Source organism: Homo sapiens, chromosome 21, assembly GCF_000001405.40.
Source record: "Homo sapiens chromosome 21, GRCh38.p14 Primary Assembly".
NCBI classification, from domain to species: Eukaryota; Metazoa; Chordata; class Mammalia; order Primates; family Hominidae; genus Homo; species Homo sapiens.
Window position 1 is genome coordinate 32,137,085 of NC_000021.9, and position 20,704 is coordinate 32,157,788.

At 42.4% G+C, this 20,704-nt stretch overlaps 1 protein-coding gene across 1 annotated transcript in view; it reads right to left on the reverse strand.

The window, feature by feature from the left end:
* Window positions 1-17,597: 17,597 nt before the first annotated feature.
* Window positions 17,598-20,704, reverse strand: part of MIS18A (MIS18 kinetochore protein A) — a 124,368-nt gene continuing 121,261 nt past the window's right edge. The window contains exon 5 of the transcript XR_002958619.2: window positions 17,598-19,418. The gene's annotated coding sequence lies outside the window, so the exon portion shown is untranslated. The remainder of the gene's footprint in view (window positions 19,419-20,704) is intronic.

The window sequence follows — 20,704 nt, forward strand, 5'->3', positions numbered from 1 at the left end:
ATCCTGGGTTATCTGGGTGGGTCCTGAATGCAACACAATGTCCTTACAAGGCACTTATACAGGGAGGGAGATTTGACACAAAATAAGAGGAAAAGGTGATTTGAAGATGGAGGTAGAGATTGGAGTGATGCGGCCACAACCCAAGGGAAGCCAGCAGCCCCTAAGGAGCTGGGAGAGGCAGGGAACAGATTATCCCCTAAAGACCCTGTAGGGAGTGTGGCCCTGACAACACCTTGACTTCAGATTTCTGGCCTCCAAAACCGTCAGAGAATAAATATCTCTTGTTTAAGCCACACAGCATGAGGTAATTTGTCACGGGAGCCACAGGAAACTAACATAGACTACATCCTGTCTAGAATTCTGTTAGATTTGCCTAAGGGCTAAATTGCAACTCCCAAAATCTGATACAATGGAGGCTTGCTTTCCTGTTTTGTCATTCTCTCAACAGTTACTTAGGAGTGCTTACTAGGCACTAACAGTGAGCTAGGTGCTGGGATAATGATGGGCAAATAGACACAAACCCTGATTTCATGCAGCTTACAGCAGGGGAAATAGTCAGGAAGCAAATACCAACACCAACTGCATTATAATCTGTAATAAAGGCTGAGAAGGCAGAGTGCAGGTGGTGTGACAGGTGATGGCAGGTAATGGCCTCATGTGAAGAGGAAGAGAGTGAGCTTGAGACTGAGCCCTGAGGTCTAATAGGAAAAGGGGCTTTCCAGTTAGAGAAAACAGCCCGTAGGGAGACCCCCAAAGCAGGAAGGATGTGGAAGCTTTCAAGGATCGACTACAGGCAGAAAGCAAGGAAGGGAATTTTAATCTCTGTCCTTAGGACATGGGGAAGCCAAGTGTTTTATGCAGAGGGGTGGCCCAATGAGATGAAAGTTTCCAGCAGCTCAGTCCGGCTGTGAAGGAGATGGGAGTGGGCCAAGACCAGTGAGGAGACTCTTGAGAAGCCCAAGCAAGAGATGGTGGTGGTTTTGATACGGGAGGGGGGCAGGGAAGTGCTGGGTAGAGAAGGGCAGGGCTCCTGGTGAGGGCTCCACCCTCGGTCTTGTGCCCATGGACCTAAGTGATAACCAGCACTCCTGTTTCCACGCCCAAATGTTGCATTGTCCAAGACTACTCCTAACCACTTCACCCCCGATCCTGTGCCCATAAAAACCCTGAGACCCTAGCGGGCACAGACACAAGCAGCTGGACGTTGAGAGAAGCAGAAGATCACGCAACGGACACCAGCAGACACTGGCAGGCCACTGACAGCAGGACAACATGGAATTCAGTCAGGGGCAGTCAGAGGAGAGTCCGGCTGCTGAGCGGCCCACTCCAGGGAAAGACCACCTTTCCACCCCAACCCCCTTCTGGATCCCCATCCATCTGCTGAGAGCTACTTCCTCCACTCAATAAAACCTTGCACTAATCCTCCAAGCCCACGTGTGATCTGATTTTTCCAGTACACGAGGGCAAGGACCCGGAATACAGAAAGGCCTCTGTCCTTGCGATAAGGCAGAGGGTCTAACTGAGCTGATTAACACAAGCTGCCTATGGATGGCTAAACTGAAAGAATTCACTGTAACATGCCCACTGGAGTTTCAGGAGCTGTAAACATTCACCCCTAGACACTGCCGTGGGGTCAGAGCCCAAAAACACTCTCCACAACCTGCCTGTCTGCATGCTTCCCCTAGGAGTTTGAGCAGCAGGTCACTGACAAAGTGAGCCACACCCCTGTCACACACCCTGTGAGGGGGATAAGGGAACTCCTCCCATTTCAGTTTGTACTAGGATGGGAACTGCTGAGATGGGGAGAAGTGGGTGGATTCCAAAGGAGTTGGTGATGGGTTGGAGGTGGGTGGTGGAAAGGATACAAACCGGGTTTCTCAGTTGTACCACAGCCAGGATAGAAGTGCCAGAGCCATTGGGAATATTCAAGAAGGACTCAGATTTGGGCAGAGAAAACAACAAGTATTTTCATTTGGAATGACCATGCATCTTAGTTTTCCAGGGACAATCCAAGTTAAGCCTATCATCCCAAAGTCTTGTCTGGTTTAGTTTAGAATTTGTTATTCTCAAAAATGCCCTGGTTTGGACCAATACATTTAACAGTCACTCTAGGCTAAGATTTGTGTGATTTGAAAGGCCTTGGAGACATCTGAGAGAAGATTTTGAGAATCTAGAATGAGAAGAGAAGGAGCCCAGGAGTGAAGCTTCCTGAACTTTAGTATCTGAGGACAGGCAAAGGTCGCCAAGCAGGCAGGGTCTGAGAGTAAGGAGGCCAGAAATGTTACGGGAGGTGCATGCCCTGTGTTCTAGTTTTCCTAGAGAGCCTTCAAACTTTTTCTATAAAAGGCCAAATGAACATTATTTGGCTTCCCAGGTCAAATGGTGTTGGTCGCTGATATGATTTGGCTCTGTTTCCCCACCCAAATCTCATCTCGAATTGTATTCCTGTAATTCCCACATGTTGTAGGAGGGACCCAATGAGAGATAATTGAATCATGGGGGCTGTTTCTCCCATACTGTTCTTGAGATAGTGAATAAGTCTCACGAGATCTGATGGTTTTATCAGGGGTTTCTATTAGCTCTGCATCCCCACCCGAATCTCATTTTGAATTATACTCCCATAATTCCCAAGTGTTGTGGGAGGGACCAGGTGGGAGATAATTAATAATGGAGGCGGTTTCCCCCATACAGTTCTCGTGATAGTAAATAAGTCTCATGAGATCTGATGGTTTTATCAGGGGTTTCTGCTTTTGCGTTTTCCTCCTTATCTCTTTGCCTGCTGCCACATATGTAAGACAGGACTTGCTTCTCCTTGCCTTCCACCATGATTGTGAGGCTTCCCCAGCCACATGGAACTGTAAGTCCAATTAAACCTCTTTCTTTTGTAAATTGCCCCATCTTGGGTCTGTCTTTATCAGCAGTGTGAAAATGGACTAATACAGTTTCTAATACCCAACTATGCCATTGGAGCAGCTTTAGGCACTGCATAAATCAACCAGTGTGGCTCTGTTCCAAAAAAACTTCATTTACAAAAACAGGTATGAGCTACATTTTGCCCACAGGGAGTAGCTGGCAGACCTCACTTTAGAATAACACTCTGGGCCTCTCCCTTCTTTATTCCTCTCCAGTGGAGGTGGGAAGGGGAGCAGGGCATTGGCACTGACGGGTTTTACTGGAGAGCTTAGGCCACCCCCTCTTTGGGGAGCTCTGTCTGAGTGCAGAGAGCTCCACACTGGAAGTCGTAGGGGGCGGGACTTCTAGGAGGGCCCTAAAGCTGTTCAGTGCTGACAGAAACAGATCTATGATCCAGCCTGATTCTAGGGTGAGGCATTAGTAGTCCCACTTGGCTAAGAGCACTAACTATGGTCTGCAATCCTAGTTTTGTCAGAAATGGAAGTGAAATTGTGACTCCATCTGCATGATATTTTTGCTCCAAACTGGGACGGGGAGGACTAGGTACATTGACCACCGCCCTGGCCAACCCCAACAGTAAAGGAAGTGTCTATTTCTCAGTTCCACTGTATTTTGGGTTGGATCTTTTTGTTGATGACTTGCCACTCTTTCAGGCAACTTCAGAAATAGTGTAGTCACTGTAGAGTCTGGTAGCATCTATTCTCTCTTCTGCTAAATGAAAACACATGACGGCCTGGTTGCTAAGTAATACAAGTAATGCATGTTGATGTAAACGGTGGTCGAGAGGTGGAGTTGGGGTGAGACACAAATGGGGACATGACCTTGAAGGCTCTGGAGAGTCTCCCAGGTGGGGGTGGGGGCTAAGTTCCCTCTCGCTTCTGTCTCGCTTTCAGATGCCCACCCTCACTCAAAAACATCATTAGGTTTGCAGCAATTACCCAAGGACTACACATCCTTTATTATTATTATTACGAAATACAGACAAGCAAAGGAGAAAATAAAAACCACCTTTAATCTCCACCCAGAGATACTTATTAATAACGGTTTGGCATGTATTTTTCCAGATGCAAAAATGAGATCATATTATCCATGTTGTTTTGTGGTCTGCTTTTGGCATTTAAAATATAATAAATATCCTTCCCTGTTGCAGAGAAGAACATACACCGTGATTTTTATGACACGATTCATTTACCCAGTCCTCTGTGATTGGCCATTTAGCTTGTTTCCAAGTTTTCCCAGTAAAAACAATGCTACAGTGTGCATTCTTATAGCTAGTTCTGGGAGCACTTTTTGAATTATTTTCTTAAACTGAATTCCAAGAACACAAGCATGATTGTAGAAGACCTCATCCTTCTAAGGGAGCCGTGACTTGAAGTAGGTTTAAGTTTCCTATAGAGGAAGAGCAGGCTTGGCTGTGCTTACATGTTGTTTCCAGCAATCTCTTGACAACTGCCGTGGTGGGTTATGGACTTAGAGCCTCACTCTAGAGGAATCCCTGACCTGCTAGGAGAGTATAATAGTGTGGAATCTCTGCTTTCATCTCTCCGGGGAAGATGGGCCTTGTCAGTTGCAATGGAGAGACCAGAAAAATGCAAAGATCAAGAGACTAGGTGAGTCCCAGCCATTTAGAAGAAGATGAGGTGAGAATACCCCAAATATTCCCTCTCTCTGCACTGCGAGAAGTGGGGAGTCTGAAGTTTTCTCCCTCTTTTTGCCATATTTTAAACTATGTCATCAGAGCTTGGTAAGGTTCCCTTAGGGGCCAGAAATGGCTCATTGGGAGGCCCCTCAGTTATTCAGAACTCACTGAAGCAGGGGTCTAGGAGAGGGGCAAGCACCTGGCTCCGGGCTTCATGGAGGAAGGAAGTGAACCCTAGGACTTCCTTCTGGACCATCCAGCCCAAGTCAGCAGGTCAGGAAAGAGCTAGACTCAGGGCAGAAGTCCTACCAGGAGTAAGGAACATGTCTTTGGCTTCCATCTTCCTTATTATTCTTTCAGATTCAAGGAGATGTGGCAGGTGGGCTGCAGCAGCCACCTCAGAGGGAAGGGCTCCCTAAAAAGGGGCTGGATCTCCACATCAACTCCAAAACTCTGCATCACCTAAGATGCTCCCACAGAGGTTCTCAGCCCCACCATGCATCCGGGTCACAGTGAGCAAATTTAAGGCACAGGTGCTTAGACCCCAGAGGTTCTGACTTAATAGGCCCAGGGAGAAGCCTCAATGTTGGTAAGACTTTAAAAGGCTTCGAAGCCACTGAGTAATTGCTTTAGATGGCAGGGAATGGTGTAAAGGTAACTCAGTGGGCTTTGGAATTGACTGATTGATCTGAGGGCCTGGATAATGGGAATAAAAATAAACAATAGTATGTACCTCTATAAAGTGGCTTCCACACAGTAGGTACTCGAATGGCAACTAAACATGATGAGCATTAATTATTTGCATGGCTGCACGAGGAAATATAAAAGGGAATGGAAGAACAGGTGGTGGGAGAATACAGCACAGTCACTCTTGCTTGTCAAATCTGACCTAAGAGTCTTGGCATCAAAAGAGAACTGGAACTATTTTTTTGCAGCAAACGAAAGGTAAAGGGCTAGTCTTAAATGTTGGCCCTGGGATCCAGAATTCCTATTTGTACCAATGTGCTGTGCAAATGGTTTACGGATGGAGTGGCCATTTAGCTTTATCTTGCCTTCCTGGCCTGCTGTTAGATTGGAGGGCTGGGGTCTGCCTTGTGTTAAAGATTATCTCCCTGGAGGGAATGTAATCTGCTATTAGTATGTCTTGTAGGTGGAGGCCAACTGCTTTCCCACAGTCTAAATCTGAATCCTGTTTACCCACCATTCTATTTAGTAACAGCCATTGGCCAAGGGGAAGAGAATGAAGGATTCCAAGACAGGCTTAAAGCTTTCAGTCTAAAATGAATAGGTGTTTCCTCCTGCAGGTTTAGGATGATCTCTTTGTGTAACTCACAAGGAGGCTAATCCAATTCCAGGTCTAAGGTCGTCACATCACCGCTTTTAAGGTCCCCTGAAAAGTCCACGGTAACTCAAGCAGTCTTTCTCCCTTAGATGCTTTATACTTCAAGATTCTGGTCTCTTGACTTTTTAATTGATCTTCACTTGGCACTTCATACTTGGAACACATCAGCTGGAAGGTTCTTTGTCCCCTCCCTGAGAAATTAACGATGTGTGGGGAAACTTTTAGATGCACCAGGGGAATGCTAATTAAAAGAGGCCTGCTCCGAGACCTTCCGCAAAACAATCATCCTTTGAATACGTGGCTGCTCACCCTGCCCCAATCTGTCTGCTTTGTACGTTTGGGTTTCATGTATTAAGAGTTGCTTAGTGTAGGACTCACTTTTGAACCTCCTTCAGGCTCCAAGATAAAGCCTTGAGCTGGGTCTGCAGGGAGCAGTGTGAGCCAGTTAGCATGTGGTGGTGACGGCCACAGCCTCTTGCTGGGCTCTAAATCATGGCTAAAACCCCAGAGCTAAAAGCATCACCCCTTTCTGGCACTTTCAATTGAAAAACCATGCTATATTTTTGTTTCCAATTATAGAAGGAGAAAAATAAAAGCATCTGGAACTCATTACTGTCCCTTTATTCCACGCCATAACTTTAAGAAAGCAAAATAAGCACTCTCACAAATGCACAGGAAAAGAGAGGAAGCAATGACTCCAGAACTAAGCCCTCACACCCCAGACCCCACTCCCCTGTGCATCTCTGTGCCCATATTGCAAACACATGGAGCGTGGGGTTTATGACGGAAATCTTGACAGCTCGCCGGCTCACAGGTCTCCGGCTCTTGCAAGGAGGAAGCTCAAGGGAGTCTGCAAGTCACCCGGCTGCTCAGGACACTGGCTCCCTCTGTCTGGCCGTTCCTAATGTGCAACACTTGACCCCAGCCCAAGAACTCAAGCCCAAAAAGGTCAGGCCTTCTCCCGAAACGTCTGCGTGGATGGCAAGGATCCTGGTTCCAGGAATCCAAGACTCCAGTGGATGATAGGAAGAACTCAACTTGCAAAAAAGGCAAGGTGGTATCTGCTTTCATGCCACACAGAAGAAGATTGACACATGACTCCTGGGGGTCTTGGGACCCAAACCTGAACTCCTTGGCATGCCACACAAGGGCCTTCCTGGTCTGCTCCTTGTTGCTGCCCTGGAATTGTTATCATTGTGCTCCCTGAGCACACTGTCCTCTCCCAGATGATAATTTCTTTCTCTAAACAAACCGTGAACAGCCTTGTCCTTGCCCAAACAGCTCCCCAGTCTTCAAAGCCCTTCCTCGACCCATTTCTATGCCTTTGCCCATGCCTGATAACATAGTTCATAAATAGTGCCTTCGTTCGAAAGGCACTCTAAATAGTTACTGACCTCTAACTCCATGCTCAGTGTAGTGGTGGGGTTGGGGCTCAGAAATACAATACCCCCAAACATGGCATCTTGGAAATTAAGAAAACAGCAGAAGCAGAAAGGTCATTCTCTGGCTTTTTTCCACCTTCCTGTGTAAGAGCTGGCCATAAAGGAATTCTCTCATCTACCTCTTCTGAAAGTAGGTCACAAGACCCTATGTGACAGGTGTCCTGCCCTATACCCAGAGGAAAGGAATGCTACACAGACAGGCCAAGAAGGATCTGAAAAAACAGGCCATGCTAATTCCCTTTAATTTATTATTATTAGGTCATACCCCTCTTATCTGATCATATTTCTACCTAACTGCCCATTCTTCATGAAACATAAGCATAAAAATACAGTTTTCCCTGGGTCTTTACTTGTTCATTTCTTTAAAAAAAAAAAAAAAAGCCTTTAGGAGACTGGGTTTTACTCTGTCACCCAGGCTGGAGTGCAGTGGTGTGATCATAGCTCACTGTAGCCTCAACTCTTGGACTCAAGTGATCTTCCTGCCTCAACCTCCCAAGTAGTTGAGACTACAGGTGTGTGCTGTCTCACCCAGCTAATTTTAAATGATTTTTTTTTTTTTAGAGACGGGATCTTGATGTGTTGCTCTGGCTGGTCTCAAACTCCTGGCCTCAAATGATCTTCCCAGAGTGTTGGGATTATAGGCTTGAGCCACCACATCTGGCCTAACTGTTCATTTCTGAAGACTCTCATGTCATGGGAAAGCTTGGTTAAATAAATTTGCTATGCTTTTATCTTGTTAATTTGTCTTTTGTTATGAGGCTGTCAGCCAAGGACCCCTTGATGGGTGAGGAAAAGATATTACTGTTTCTTTTTTTTTTTTTAGACGGAGTTTCGCTTTTGTTGCCCAGGCTGGAGTGCAATGGCATGATCTCAGCTCTCGCAACCTCCACCTCCCGGGCTCAAGCGATTCTCATGCCTCAGCCTCCCGAGTAGCTGGGATTACGGGCATGTGACACCTAGCCCAGCTAATTTTTGTATTATTAGTAAAGATGAGGTTTCTCCATGTTGGTCATGGCCTCGAACTCCTGACCTCAGGTAATCCACCCGCCTCGGCCTTCCATAGTTCTGGGATTACAGGTGTGAGCCACTGTGCCTGGCCGATATTAGCTTTTCTCGGCTGCAGTAGACACTAGAGCTACAGGAGAGAAAAAGACAGGGTCCTTGGCCTCAGAGAACCTAAAGGGGAGTGCACATTCAGTTTGGTTTATTTTTAGCCCGTGACTACGAGGTATCTGGCACTGTAGGGGTGTTTTGGTTTCCTATGGATGCTATAACAAACTTAATAGCTCAAAACAACCACAAATTTATTAGTTTACTATTCTGTTGTCCAGCACGAGTCTAGGCTAAAATTAAGGTGTCAGCAGGAGTGCATAACTTCCTGGAGGCTTTAGGAGAGAACTGGTTTCCTTGCCTTTTCCAGCTTCTAGAGACCATACTTTCCTTGGCTCCTGGCCACATCCTCCATCTTCAAAGCCAGTAAGAGCAATAGGGGCCTTTGCATACCACATCACTCTCTCACTGTCTCCCTCTTCTATTTCTAAAAACCCTTGTCCAAACCCTTGTCTAAAAACATTTGGTCCACATAGATAATCCAGTATAATCTCTTTAAAGGCAGATGAGTAGCAACTCTCATTCCATCTGCAATCTTAATTTCCCTTTGCCATGTAATGTAAAACATTCCCGTGATTAGGACATGGACTGGACGTCTTGTGGGGATGCATTATTCTGTCTACCACAGAGGACCGAATGATAAAGGGAATACTGTCATTCCCCTTAAAGAGACATTTTTGCAAAGCCTTCCTTAAAAACACAAGCAGGATTAAGAAACTCCTTCTATATTCCCATTACACTGTCTGCACTTTAAAAACACCTCTTTTATAACATTTAACATGCTTAAAGCAGTGTTTGTCAGAGCGTGGGACAAGTAATACTTGATAGTTTGCATTTAGTCATTTTGCACTTTAATAATTATGCATTTATTTTAATGTGAGTGAAGAGCATAAGCAGCATATCCAACCTGTGATATAATCTTTCCTTTTAAATTAAATCCATTTAAGCTTTTAAAGAGTGAGATGTAAAATATGAATTAGTGGTACATACTGTATAGGCCAAGGCAAAAAAAAAAAAAGGAAGGAGTACTTGAGATGACTGCAATATAGGAAAATTACAGTTAATGTTTTCTGGATAAATTCTGAGTTCCTTAAGGGCAGAGATTTGTCCATCTGCTTATTACTGTATTAATTTTCATATTTCTGGAATCTGACGTCTATGATGGCATAGGTGCTCAAATGTTTATTGAATGAATAAATAAAGTAGGATTGTCTTGTAGACTTCTATTTGCTTCAACTTTACACCTTTTGAATTACTTTCACATTATGGAAATGCAGCTAAAGTAACAGTTGAACAATCATCATCTGATATTTTAGTTAGTTCATTTTAGTGAGATTTTGCTATAATGTGTACTCTGTGGAAATAATATATGAGGGCACAAATATTAAAGATTAAACGTGGCTGAGGCTCAGATTGTTGTTAGTGAATTAACAAGTGAAAATTATACCAAAGTATAGGAAGGTGGAAGCTGATATATACACTAGATTTCCATCTTTTCCCTCTTGGTGCCTGAATCTTAGTAAAAGTGTTCTGGTTTGGGGGATGTTTCTTGAATTACATGGTTCATTAGCTCGTTCATGCATTCAGCACTATGGCAGGTCCATTGTCGCTGAGAATAAGCAAGATGTGGAGGACACAAAAATAAGACCCAGTCACTGCCTTTGAGAAGCTTTGATAGCAAGATCCACACTTAAACCTATTACTGCCACATAATCAAAGAGCTATGCCAGGAATGACAGTTCCTGGGCTTGGAAGCATTCAAGCTGAGTTTGCAGTTTGAGTTCAATCAAGTTAATTAATGCTGCACCAAAGAAAGCAAAAACAAATAAACTCCTGTGAAAGAATATAACAGAATCCAGAATTCTACAACATAAACTTTGTAATATGCAGGGTACAATAAAAAAAACTATTCAACATATGAAAAGCCAAGGAAATGTTACCCATTCTTGAGAGAAAAGACAATCAATGGAGATCAAAACCAGATGGTGAAATTTGCAGACTTGGGTTTTAAAGCACCTTTGAGCCACATTCATTGACTTAAAGGAAAATATGCTTGCAATGAATGAAAAAATAGGAAATCTCAGTGGAGAAATATAATCTATAAAAAGACCCAAATAGAAATTCTAGAACTGGGCCGGGCGAGGTGGCTCACACATATAATCCCAGCACTTTGGGAGGCCAAGGCAGGTGGATTGCCTGAGCTCAGGAGTTCGCACCAGCCTGGGCAGCATGGTGGAACCCGGTCTCTACTAAAAAATTCAAAAACAAATTAGCCAGGCATGGTGGTGTGCACCTGTAGTCGCAGCTACTCAGGAGGCTGAGGCAGGAGAATTGCTTGAACTCAGGAGGCAGAGGTTGCAGTGAGCCGAGATCATGCCACTGCACTCCAGCCTGGGTGACAGAGCAAGACTCTGTCTCAAAAAAAAAAAAAAAAAAAAAAAGAAAAGAAATTCTAGAACTGAAAAACACATCTGAAATTTAAAATGTACTGGATGTGCTTGAGAGCAGAATGAGAATGATACAGGAAAGAGTCAGTAAACTTTAAGATAGATCCATGGAAATTATTTAATCTTGAAAAAAAAAGGGAGAGAAAAAAAAGGTTTAAAAACTAAATAGTCTCAGGAACCAGTTAAAAAAAGTTTAACATATATGCATTTGGAACCTCAAAAGGAGATAAGAAAGACTATTTATCTTTCTTAATTATTTTTCTACTGCCCTTATTTGGAGGTAATGGTTCAAAAAAACAATTGTAATAAATAATGGATGAAATTTCCCCAAATTTTGTGAAAGACATAAATTTACAGATTGAAGAAACTCAGCAAACCCCAAGCAAGTTAAATATGAGTAAATATGAAGAAAACCATGCCTAGGGGACATCATAGCTAAATGCTGAAAATAAAAATAAAGGGGAAAAATCTTAAAAACAAGCAAAGAAAAATAATATAATACATAGAGGAGACAAAGATTTGAATGATTTTTGACTTCTCATTAAAAACTCTGGAGGCCAGAAGACAGTGGAAGAACATCTTTAAAGTGCTGAAAGAAAATTCACTTGGCAAACATTCAGTGAAAATATTCTTCAAAAACGAAGGTGAAATAAAGATATTTTTAGATAAAAAGAAAAGAGAATGTGCTAACAGAATGACACTACCAGAAATAAAAGAAAAATTTTAAGTTGAGGAGAAATAAGAAAAGCTGGAAAATCAAGTCCTTAAGAAGGAATAAAGACTGTCAGCAATGACAAATGTCTGTCTAAATATCAACCCTATAACTGGGAACTATATCCCTCCTTCCCTATATGAGTTCTGTTTAAAGTTGAACACAAAAGGAATTCCATGATATCTCTGACATGGAAAGGAAGCAGTAACCATTACTCCCTGAAGGCTTAGAGTCAGATGCAGCGACTGAAGAAGAAACAACTTGGGCTTGGTTTACAGATGGTTCTACACAATATACTGGTACCGCAAAGGAGAGCTGCAACACGACATTGCCACTGAAGGACAGGGGTAAACAGAAATTCTCTCCGTTGGCAGGAATTCAAGCAATGTACTTGTTGTTCATTTTGTCTGGAAGAAGAAGCGGCTAGAGATATGTATGTATACTGGCTTATGGGCAATGGCAAATGGTTTGGCCAGATGGTCAGGGACTTGAAATACAATTGGGAAATTAGTGACAAGAGGATCTGGGGAACAGATATGTGGATATGTGGATAGGCCTCTCTGAATGGACACAGAGGACAAAGATATTTGTGTGCCACATGAATGCTTGCAAAAGAGCAAACTTACCCGGGAAGATCTTAATAGACAAGACAGCCCATTCTGTAGATGTCAGTCTCGTTGCCACCTTTCCCTGGCTTCGCCCAATGGACTCATGAACAAAGTGAACATTGTAGCAGGGTTAGAGACTATGCATGGGCTTTTGCTTACCAAAGCTGATCCACCTACAGCCACTGCTGGGTGCCCAACCAGCCAGCTGCAGAGATCAACAATGAGCTCCTGATAAGTTATCATTCCCAAAGGAATCAGCCAGGCACATGGTAGCATATTTTTTACATTCTCTATCACTTCCATATGGCAGTGATAGCACTTTGGTCTCACCAAAATAGACATTTACTCTGTATATGGATTTGTCTTTCTTGCCTGCGAACCTTCTGCTAAAACCATCGTCTCTAGGCTCACAGAGTGCTTTATTTAGTGCCATGATATTCCATGTAGCATCACTGCTGATGGGAGGGCTCATTTTATAGCACATGAAGTGCCACAATGGACTCATACTTATAGAATGCCCAAGTCTCACAATCATCCTAAAGCAGCTGGCCTGGTAGAATGATGGCATAGCCTTTTGAAGACTCAGTTGTAGCGTCAGCTGGGTGGCAACATTTATGGGCCTCCAGAATGTGATACTTGCTCTAACTCCATATTGGCTGATGTTTCTCTCAAAGCCCGAATTAAGATGTCCGGGAATCAAGGGGTGGAAAAGGGAGTGATTTCTCTTACTAGTCCCTTAATAATTCACAAGCAAAGTTTTTGCTTTTTGTCCCCATTATTTTGGGTTCTGCTTGTCTAGAGGTGTTTGATTCTGACAGAAGACACAACAGTGGTTCTATTAAACTGGAAGCTGAGACTGCCACCTGGCTCCTTTGTGTTTCTCGTGCCATGAACCAACAAGTGGAGAAAGAGCTTACTGCACTGACTGGGGTGCTCCATCCTGACTCTCAAGTGGAAACTGGGTGGTGACCTCACATGAGGGCAGATGAGCGGATGTCTGAACCATAGGAGATCCTCTTGGGCACCTCTTAGCACTCCCATGTCCTGTGACAAAAGTTAGCAGGAAACGACAACAAGCCAGCTCAGACAGGATTGCCAGTGGCACAGAACTTTCAGGAATGATGAAAGCATGGCTGCTGAGGTGCTTGCTACAAACAAAGAAAATATGGACTGGGTGGGGAAGAAGTAAGTGATGAATGTCAGCCATGACCATGTGGCCAGTTGAAGAAAACAAAGACTGTCATCATGATTAGTAATTTCAAAAAGGGACCCAGCTAGAAGAGAAATGAGTATCACACAAAGATGGATAAGAGGAAGATTTGTGTATCCTCTTTTGGGGAAAGGATGACATGTTTGGGGTGTTCAAGTTGTGCATCCTGTTAGGTGGAGGCATTATTTTTCTACTGCCTTTATTTGGAGGTAATGGTTCAAAGAGGTGTGTGTGGATACCAAGTTGATATAGAGTCCAGGGGTGTCCAATCTTTTAGCTTCTCTGGGCCACATTGGAAGAAGTATTGTCTTGGGCCACACATATGACACATTAACACTAATGATAGCTGATGAGCTTTAAAAAAAATTGCAAAAATAATCTCATAATGTTTTCAGAAAGTTTACAAATTTGTGTTGGTCCATATTCAAAGCTGTCCTGCGCCGCATGCAGACCTCAGGCCACAGGTTGGGCAAGCTTGGTGTAGCCTGTGTTAGATTGTCCTATTGACAACTTGGTTGAGTTGGAAATTTCACTCCCAGAATCCTCTTCTCTATATGATTCTGCGTTAAATTTGGCCAAAAGGGGAACTTGAAAAAGATCTGGGAGGCAGAGGCCGGGCACGGTGGCTCACGCCTGTAATCCCAGCACTTTGGGAGGCTAAGGCAGGCAGATCACAAGGTCAGGAGACTGAGACCATCCTGGCTAACACAGTGAAACCCCGTCTCCACTAAAAATACAAAAAAAAAAAAAGAAAAAAAAAATTAGCCGGGTGTGGTGACGGGCACCTGTAGTCCCAGCTACTCGGGAGGCTGAGGCAGGAGAAAGGTGTGAACCTGGGAGGCAGGGCTTGCAGTGAGCCGAGATAGCGCCACTGCACTCCAGCCTGGGTGACAGAGTGAGACTCCATCTCAAAAAACAAAAACAAAAACAAACAAACAAACAAACAAAAGATCTGTGAGCCAGAAGTGAAGCAGCATCATTTTTGCAGGGCATCACAGTTACATGCAGAAACAACAGCACAGAGGTGCCAGGGATCCCAGCTTGGCCTTGCTCCCCGCCTGCTCCATGCCCAGCACATCCTCCTGACAGTAGATCCCCTGACCAATAGTGGCCCTGGGGCCACCACCAGACTCTTGGTGGTGGACCCACAGAGTGGTGGTTGCGCTCAGGCAGCAGCCTCCCATCAACATGTCCCCCACTTCATGGTCCCACTTGGTGGCTGGATGTACCTGTTCTCTCACATTTCTCCTGAAAGCTCCAACTTGTCCACCTACACCAGTGCTTCAGGGAAAGCTGGTTAATGACTTCATCTCTAGCCCTCTAACTCTCCTTAACTACCTTCACCTCCCCAGTTCCTCTCATCATTATGTAAGGTCTAATTCCTGAACTAAATGTCTTATTAGGTTGCTGCAAAAGTAATTGCTGTTTTTGCCATACTTTCAATGCCATTACTTTTGAAAGGAATGGCAAAAACCGCAATTACTTTTGCAGCAACTTAATATCTAACAACATTGATAGTGGTTCCACTTCCCTGGATGTATTTTGGCTTCCATACTAGGTGGCATGGGGGAGGGGAGGTGGGGATATACTAGAGTTCCTTAGAGAAATAGGGCCAATACTATATATATAATATAATATTATACATATATATGATTTCTTATGGGAATTGGCTCATGCAATTATGGAGACCAGGAAGTCCCATGATGTACTGTTGCAAGGTGGGGAACCAAGAAAGCCAGTGATGTAATTCAGATTCCACAGGCCTGTGAAACAGGGGAGGCAATGGCCTCCTAGTCCGAGGCCAAAGGCCTGAGGACTGCAGTGGGACAGGGGAGGCCTGGAGGGTAAGTTCCAGGGTCCACTGGCTGGAGAAGCAGAAGCACAGAAGTCTAGATGGAGGTCCCAGTGCAAGGAAAAAGAGAATGTGCCCTTCCTCCCCCTTTTTGTTTTATTTCAGGCCTGCAATGGATTAGATGATGCCTACCCACAATGGGGAGGGTGGGTCTTCTTGACTCCATCCACTGATTCAAATGCAAATCTCCTTCAGAAACACCCTTGTAGACACACCCAGAAATAATGTTTTACCAGCTATCTTGGCCACCCTTAGCCAGGCAACTGGACAAGTAAAATTAACCATGACTAGTAGTGAATTGCACACTTGTGCTGGAAGTTTCCATCCATCAAGAGGTACATCATTTCTGCTTAAGCCTTATTAGCCAAAGCAGATCCGATGGCCACACCTAACTTCAAAAATGGCAGGGAAATGCGATCCTATTGAGCCTAAAAGGAACTTGAACCAGAATATTTGTGAACATGTGAAGGTGACCACCATGCATAGGAAATAAGTAAATGACCAATAGATATTTGGATATTTGGATGAATGTATAGATGTGAGATTTTAAATATTTATAAAGGTCAGTAGAAATCAACAAAGAGGAAAACAAATTTTATTGGTCAGGTCTCATGCACTATGCACTAACCTTGTATAAAATCACTTACAAGCTTTTCGTTAGACCTCAAAAACTCCTATAAAATAAATTTCCTTCTCATTTTACAAACTCCATGAAATCAGGAACCATGCTTTTTTTAATGGGCTGTATTTTTTAGAGCAGTTTTATGTTTACAGGAAAAACATTGAGAAGATAGTCTGGAGAGTTTACATAATGTTGATGAAAAGAGTCAAACTCTGTAAAATATTTGAAGAGATTTATTCTGAGCCAAATATGAGTGACCATGGCCTGCGACACAGCCCTCAGGAGGTCCTGAGAACATGTGTCCGAGGTGGTTGGGGTACAGCCTGGTTTTATGTATTTTAGAGAGGCATATTTTAGGGAGCAATCAAATACATTTAAGAAATACATTGGTTTGGTTTAGAAAGGCGGACAACTCAAAGCAGGGGCTTCCAGGCTATAGGGAAATTTAAACATTTTCTGGTTGACAATTGGTTGAGGTTATCTGAACACCTGGGATTGATAGAAAGAATGTTCATGTTAAAGATAAAGGATTGTGGAGACCAAGTTTTATTGTGCAGATGAAGTTCTTACCAGACTTTAGAGACAGCAGGTGGTAAATTGTTTTATATCAGACTTAAAAGGGCACCAGGCTCTTAGTTGATTATCTCCTGGATTTGGGAAGGAAGGAAGGAAGGAAAACCAAGGGGAAAAGGGATTCTCTACAGAATGTGGTTTTTTCCCACAAGAGACTTTGCAGGGCAATTTCAAGGTATGGCAAGGAAATATATTTTGGGGTAAAACATTTTGATTTTCTTCCTTGTTATGCCAGAGTCAGATTGGAAAGTCACGAGATACAGGATTAAATAAAATCCATTTGATAAAAATTTCTGGTTTTTAGGACCTCTTAGAAAGGAATTTGGGTAAGGTAAAAAATCAGAGTTTAGTCTTCAGTCCTCCCTCTTGGCCAAAAAGCATTCACAGAAAGCATATGCAGGCCAACAGCGGCAGATTCCATGGCTCTAGGAGCACTTATTCCTAGAGTTGTCTGATCTGTTCATTTGGCGAGGTCCCACGGTGCTAGGAAGGCTTATTCCTAGTGTAGTCTGGTTGATGGTAGTTTTAAATATTAGCGATTTGGATAATGGGGGGAGGACATGGTCTGACCTGATGCAATAGCCAATTGTTTACCGAGTGAGATGGAGTCAGGCCTAGGGTTTAGCCTAAAAAAAACCATCCCGGATCAGATCTATTTTCTGAGTTATTATGATCCAGGTTTTTAATTGTGTCTTTCCTTTTGCTGTACCTGGCATAATATTTGCAAGAAAATGTCTAATGTTAATATAGTAACAAATATAAAGATAGTGAAGGTTTGGGCGTCCAAGGTTGTAGTTAGAATCAGAGGACACTAACCAACCCAATCAGCCAGAAAACCCCGTATGCATCATCATATTTTTGATCAAACTCACAATGTGTTTACCTTCCTTATTAAGGGTTATTTGGACCTTGTGATAAATCTTACTTGAGAATTGTGGGACAAACATTAAATTAGAATTTAATAAATGTAATCTCTTTTCTAGCCAATGTGTTTCCATAGGTATAGCATCCTATGCATATAACATAAATTAAATACCAGAAACACCTGGTCCTCAGTGTTTAAATTGTGATAGACTTGTTAACAGTAGACAAATCTATTTCCCGCCCACCACCCCCACCAACCGACTTTTGTGTTGCACCATATACTGGTATTTGGAGGGAAAAGGTTTTGTCGCAGGAGAAGTTATATAATTCTACAGTGTTATTTTTTTCCTTGGCAGGACTATCTATGGCTGAGGACCATAAGAGTTAAAAGACTTATAGCCAATTAATTGTTCTAGGCCAGATAGGAAGGGTTGTGGACAGCCATTTGTTACTTTTAAAAATTATTAGTTTAAGTAAAAAGGCCAGCAGAAAAACCAAAAGGCAAAGTTGCAAGACTGACTTATTTTTAACTTCTATGTGTTGAGCTGCTGTGAGTTTGGTTTTTGTTACAGACTTACAGCAATTAGCTATACAAAACATAAGCACTGCTCTGAAAAATTAAAAATATATATGGATAGATAGGTTTATTTTTACCACTTATCATTGGGAGTATTATACCCAGGAAGCTTTGTGGTAAGGTATTTTATCCTGTTAGTAAATGTTTTTCTTTAATTTTACAGCAAAATTTTATGGTTGGGATGGATGCAAAAGTGACAAATAATAGTTTAGAAGACAAGCAAACTTGTTTTACCAGCTGTTTAGGCATTTTTTTTTTGGACCTCCTTTTTGATTTGGAGGGTTTGATCTTGTCCTAATTTTATCCCTCGAAACTGGCCCTTACAAATTGTACATGCCCACCTCTTCTGCGATAGTCCCTGGACCTAGAGGGAGGCAGCTTGTATAGCTCTGGCAGCAAAGCATTAGCAGTGAAACAGATCCAGACCCAGTGGATGTCAAATGAGGGAGATTCCTATCTCTGGTCTTCAGAATACCATGATTTTGGTTTGCTTGGAAGTAAAACAAAAAGAGATAAATAACAGTTATAGTTTGACAGTTATAACAGTAATTTGTATGTTAGAACAGAAAAAGGAACCTGTTCCATTAGGGCACCAACTGAAAACATGAAGAAAAATTATAATCAGGTACTTTTTAGAGGATTATTGTAGCCAAGAAATAATGATTTCATCTGTATGTAAAAAGTTAGGGTTGAAATGTAGTATTAAGTGTTACACTTTGCCCTTCAAACAATTTTTTTGCTGCCTTTTTTATTAAAGAGAATTTTATAGCCAGGCCAATTTGTGTGCAATGCTAGTTTTAGGCTTATTATGCTTGCCTGATGATTTGCATAAAATGCAGCAAGAAATCGACTGGCCATATAGACTTCTTTTAAAGTTGATTTTGCTGAAACTTTACCTAAAAATAGGCTATACTAGTTTCAGTCTTGGTAAAATAACCAGTGTCACCAATTGTTAGGAAAAAAAAAACTATTATTGAACTTATGCAGACAACTATATTGCCATAAAATTACAATCTGAATTTTGGAGGATTCAGAAAGGGAAATTTGCTTACAAAAACATACTTTACCCAAATAATTTAAAAGAAAAAGATTTCCTTGACCCTTTTTTAACCAGAGCAGCAGCTTTGAAAACGAGATGTTTGCTTACCTTGGAAATGTCATTTACAAATCAAACAGCTCAGGAGAGCTATTAGGCATTGTGGAATTTAGCAGCTCCTTACAATTAGTTCTAGAAAAGAGCCTCTCTGCTTATTAGGTAGCAAGATTTTATGTAAACCATTTTTATTTTATTATGGAACTTTTTGGGAAACATTATTTCCATTAATATAGAGGTAGCTTTAGTTAATATTCCATAGCAAGCCAGTAAATGCCCCATCAAAATACCTCAGTTGTTGTTATTGAAAAGTACTCACAGTTTTTGCCATCAGTCCGGATAAATGCTCCACACAAAAGGCTATGCAGTGGAGGATTTACATGAGCAGATTTACATGTCTTCAGTTTTATGGTACTAGAAAGGGGAAAACATCCCCCAGTGAGTTAGATATAGTACCCACTTTTATAAGACATTTAGGTGAAAGGGGTTACAACTACCTTACATAAAGCTTGTTTAAATATTTCACATTTTATAATTCTATTAACCTATATATTTTTATGTTCTGGTCCCAGGAAGCGTTTTTACCCCCAGACCATTTTACCTTTTCTGGAGAAAAGGATTTGGGTTTCCAGCGGGGGGTTGCATCTGTGAGATCTATGAGGGATATCAGATTTGATAAGGCTTCTTAAACAGACCTATGATTCTGTGGGAGGGGCACCATGTAAAAGAGACCCCCTTAACCCCCAAATTGACCATGACCCAGGTAATAGACATATCAGGTGGGAGGATATCCCAGTTATAAAGCTAGTCCAACATGGCTTGCATATGAGAGATATTAACTGCTTCATCTAGGTACTTCACTTGGTATTTTATAGGGAGATTTGGGCAGTCCCCTTCTCAGGGCAAACAGAACTTATATGGCCCACTAGGCTGATTGCATTTCCTTTCTTTTCCTTTCTTTCTTTCTTTTTTTTTTTTTTTTGAGATGGAGTAGTCATATTCTGTCGCCCAGGCTGGAGTGCAGTGGCGTGATCTTGGCTCACTGCAACCTCTGCCGCCCGGGTTCAAATGATTTTCCTGCCTCAGCCTCCTGAGTAGCTGGGATTACCAGGCACCCGCCACCGTACCCGGCTAATTTTTTTTTTTTTTTTTGGTAGTTTTAGTAGAGACAGGGTTTCATCATCTTGGCCCAGGCTGATCTTGAACTCCTGACTTAGTGATCCACCTTCCTCAGCTTCCCAAAGTGCTGGGATTACAGGCATGAACCACCGGGCCTGGCTGTTTGCTTTTTCAGGAATAAACCTTTGTCCATTAGTGATTGTTCAGTAGTGAGCTCTGGGTCCTGCAAGCTCTTAAATTTTGTAGCATTTAAAATTAAGAATTTTGTCCTTAAAGTGGTTAAGTGGTTATTTTTCAATTTATTATAGTAAAGTTTTTTTTTGTTATTGTTGTTGTTGTTTTTAAAGAAGCTAAATGATACCAATCTACAAAGTGGAACAATTCCTTTACATGACACCCTTTGGTTTTAAATAGTTACTTGGTTTTGCCCTTCCCCCATATCAACTATTTTCTTGGTAACCATGGGGCTCAGAGTTTTGTTGCCCTAGATTGTTTATTTTTTTCATTTAGTTTTATTTGTATAACTTCCTTTATTATAAAGCAACTCTTAAATAGTTTCTTAACCAAAAAGAAACTTAGAT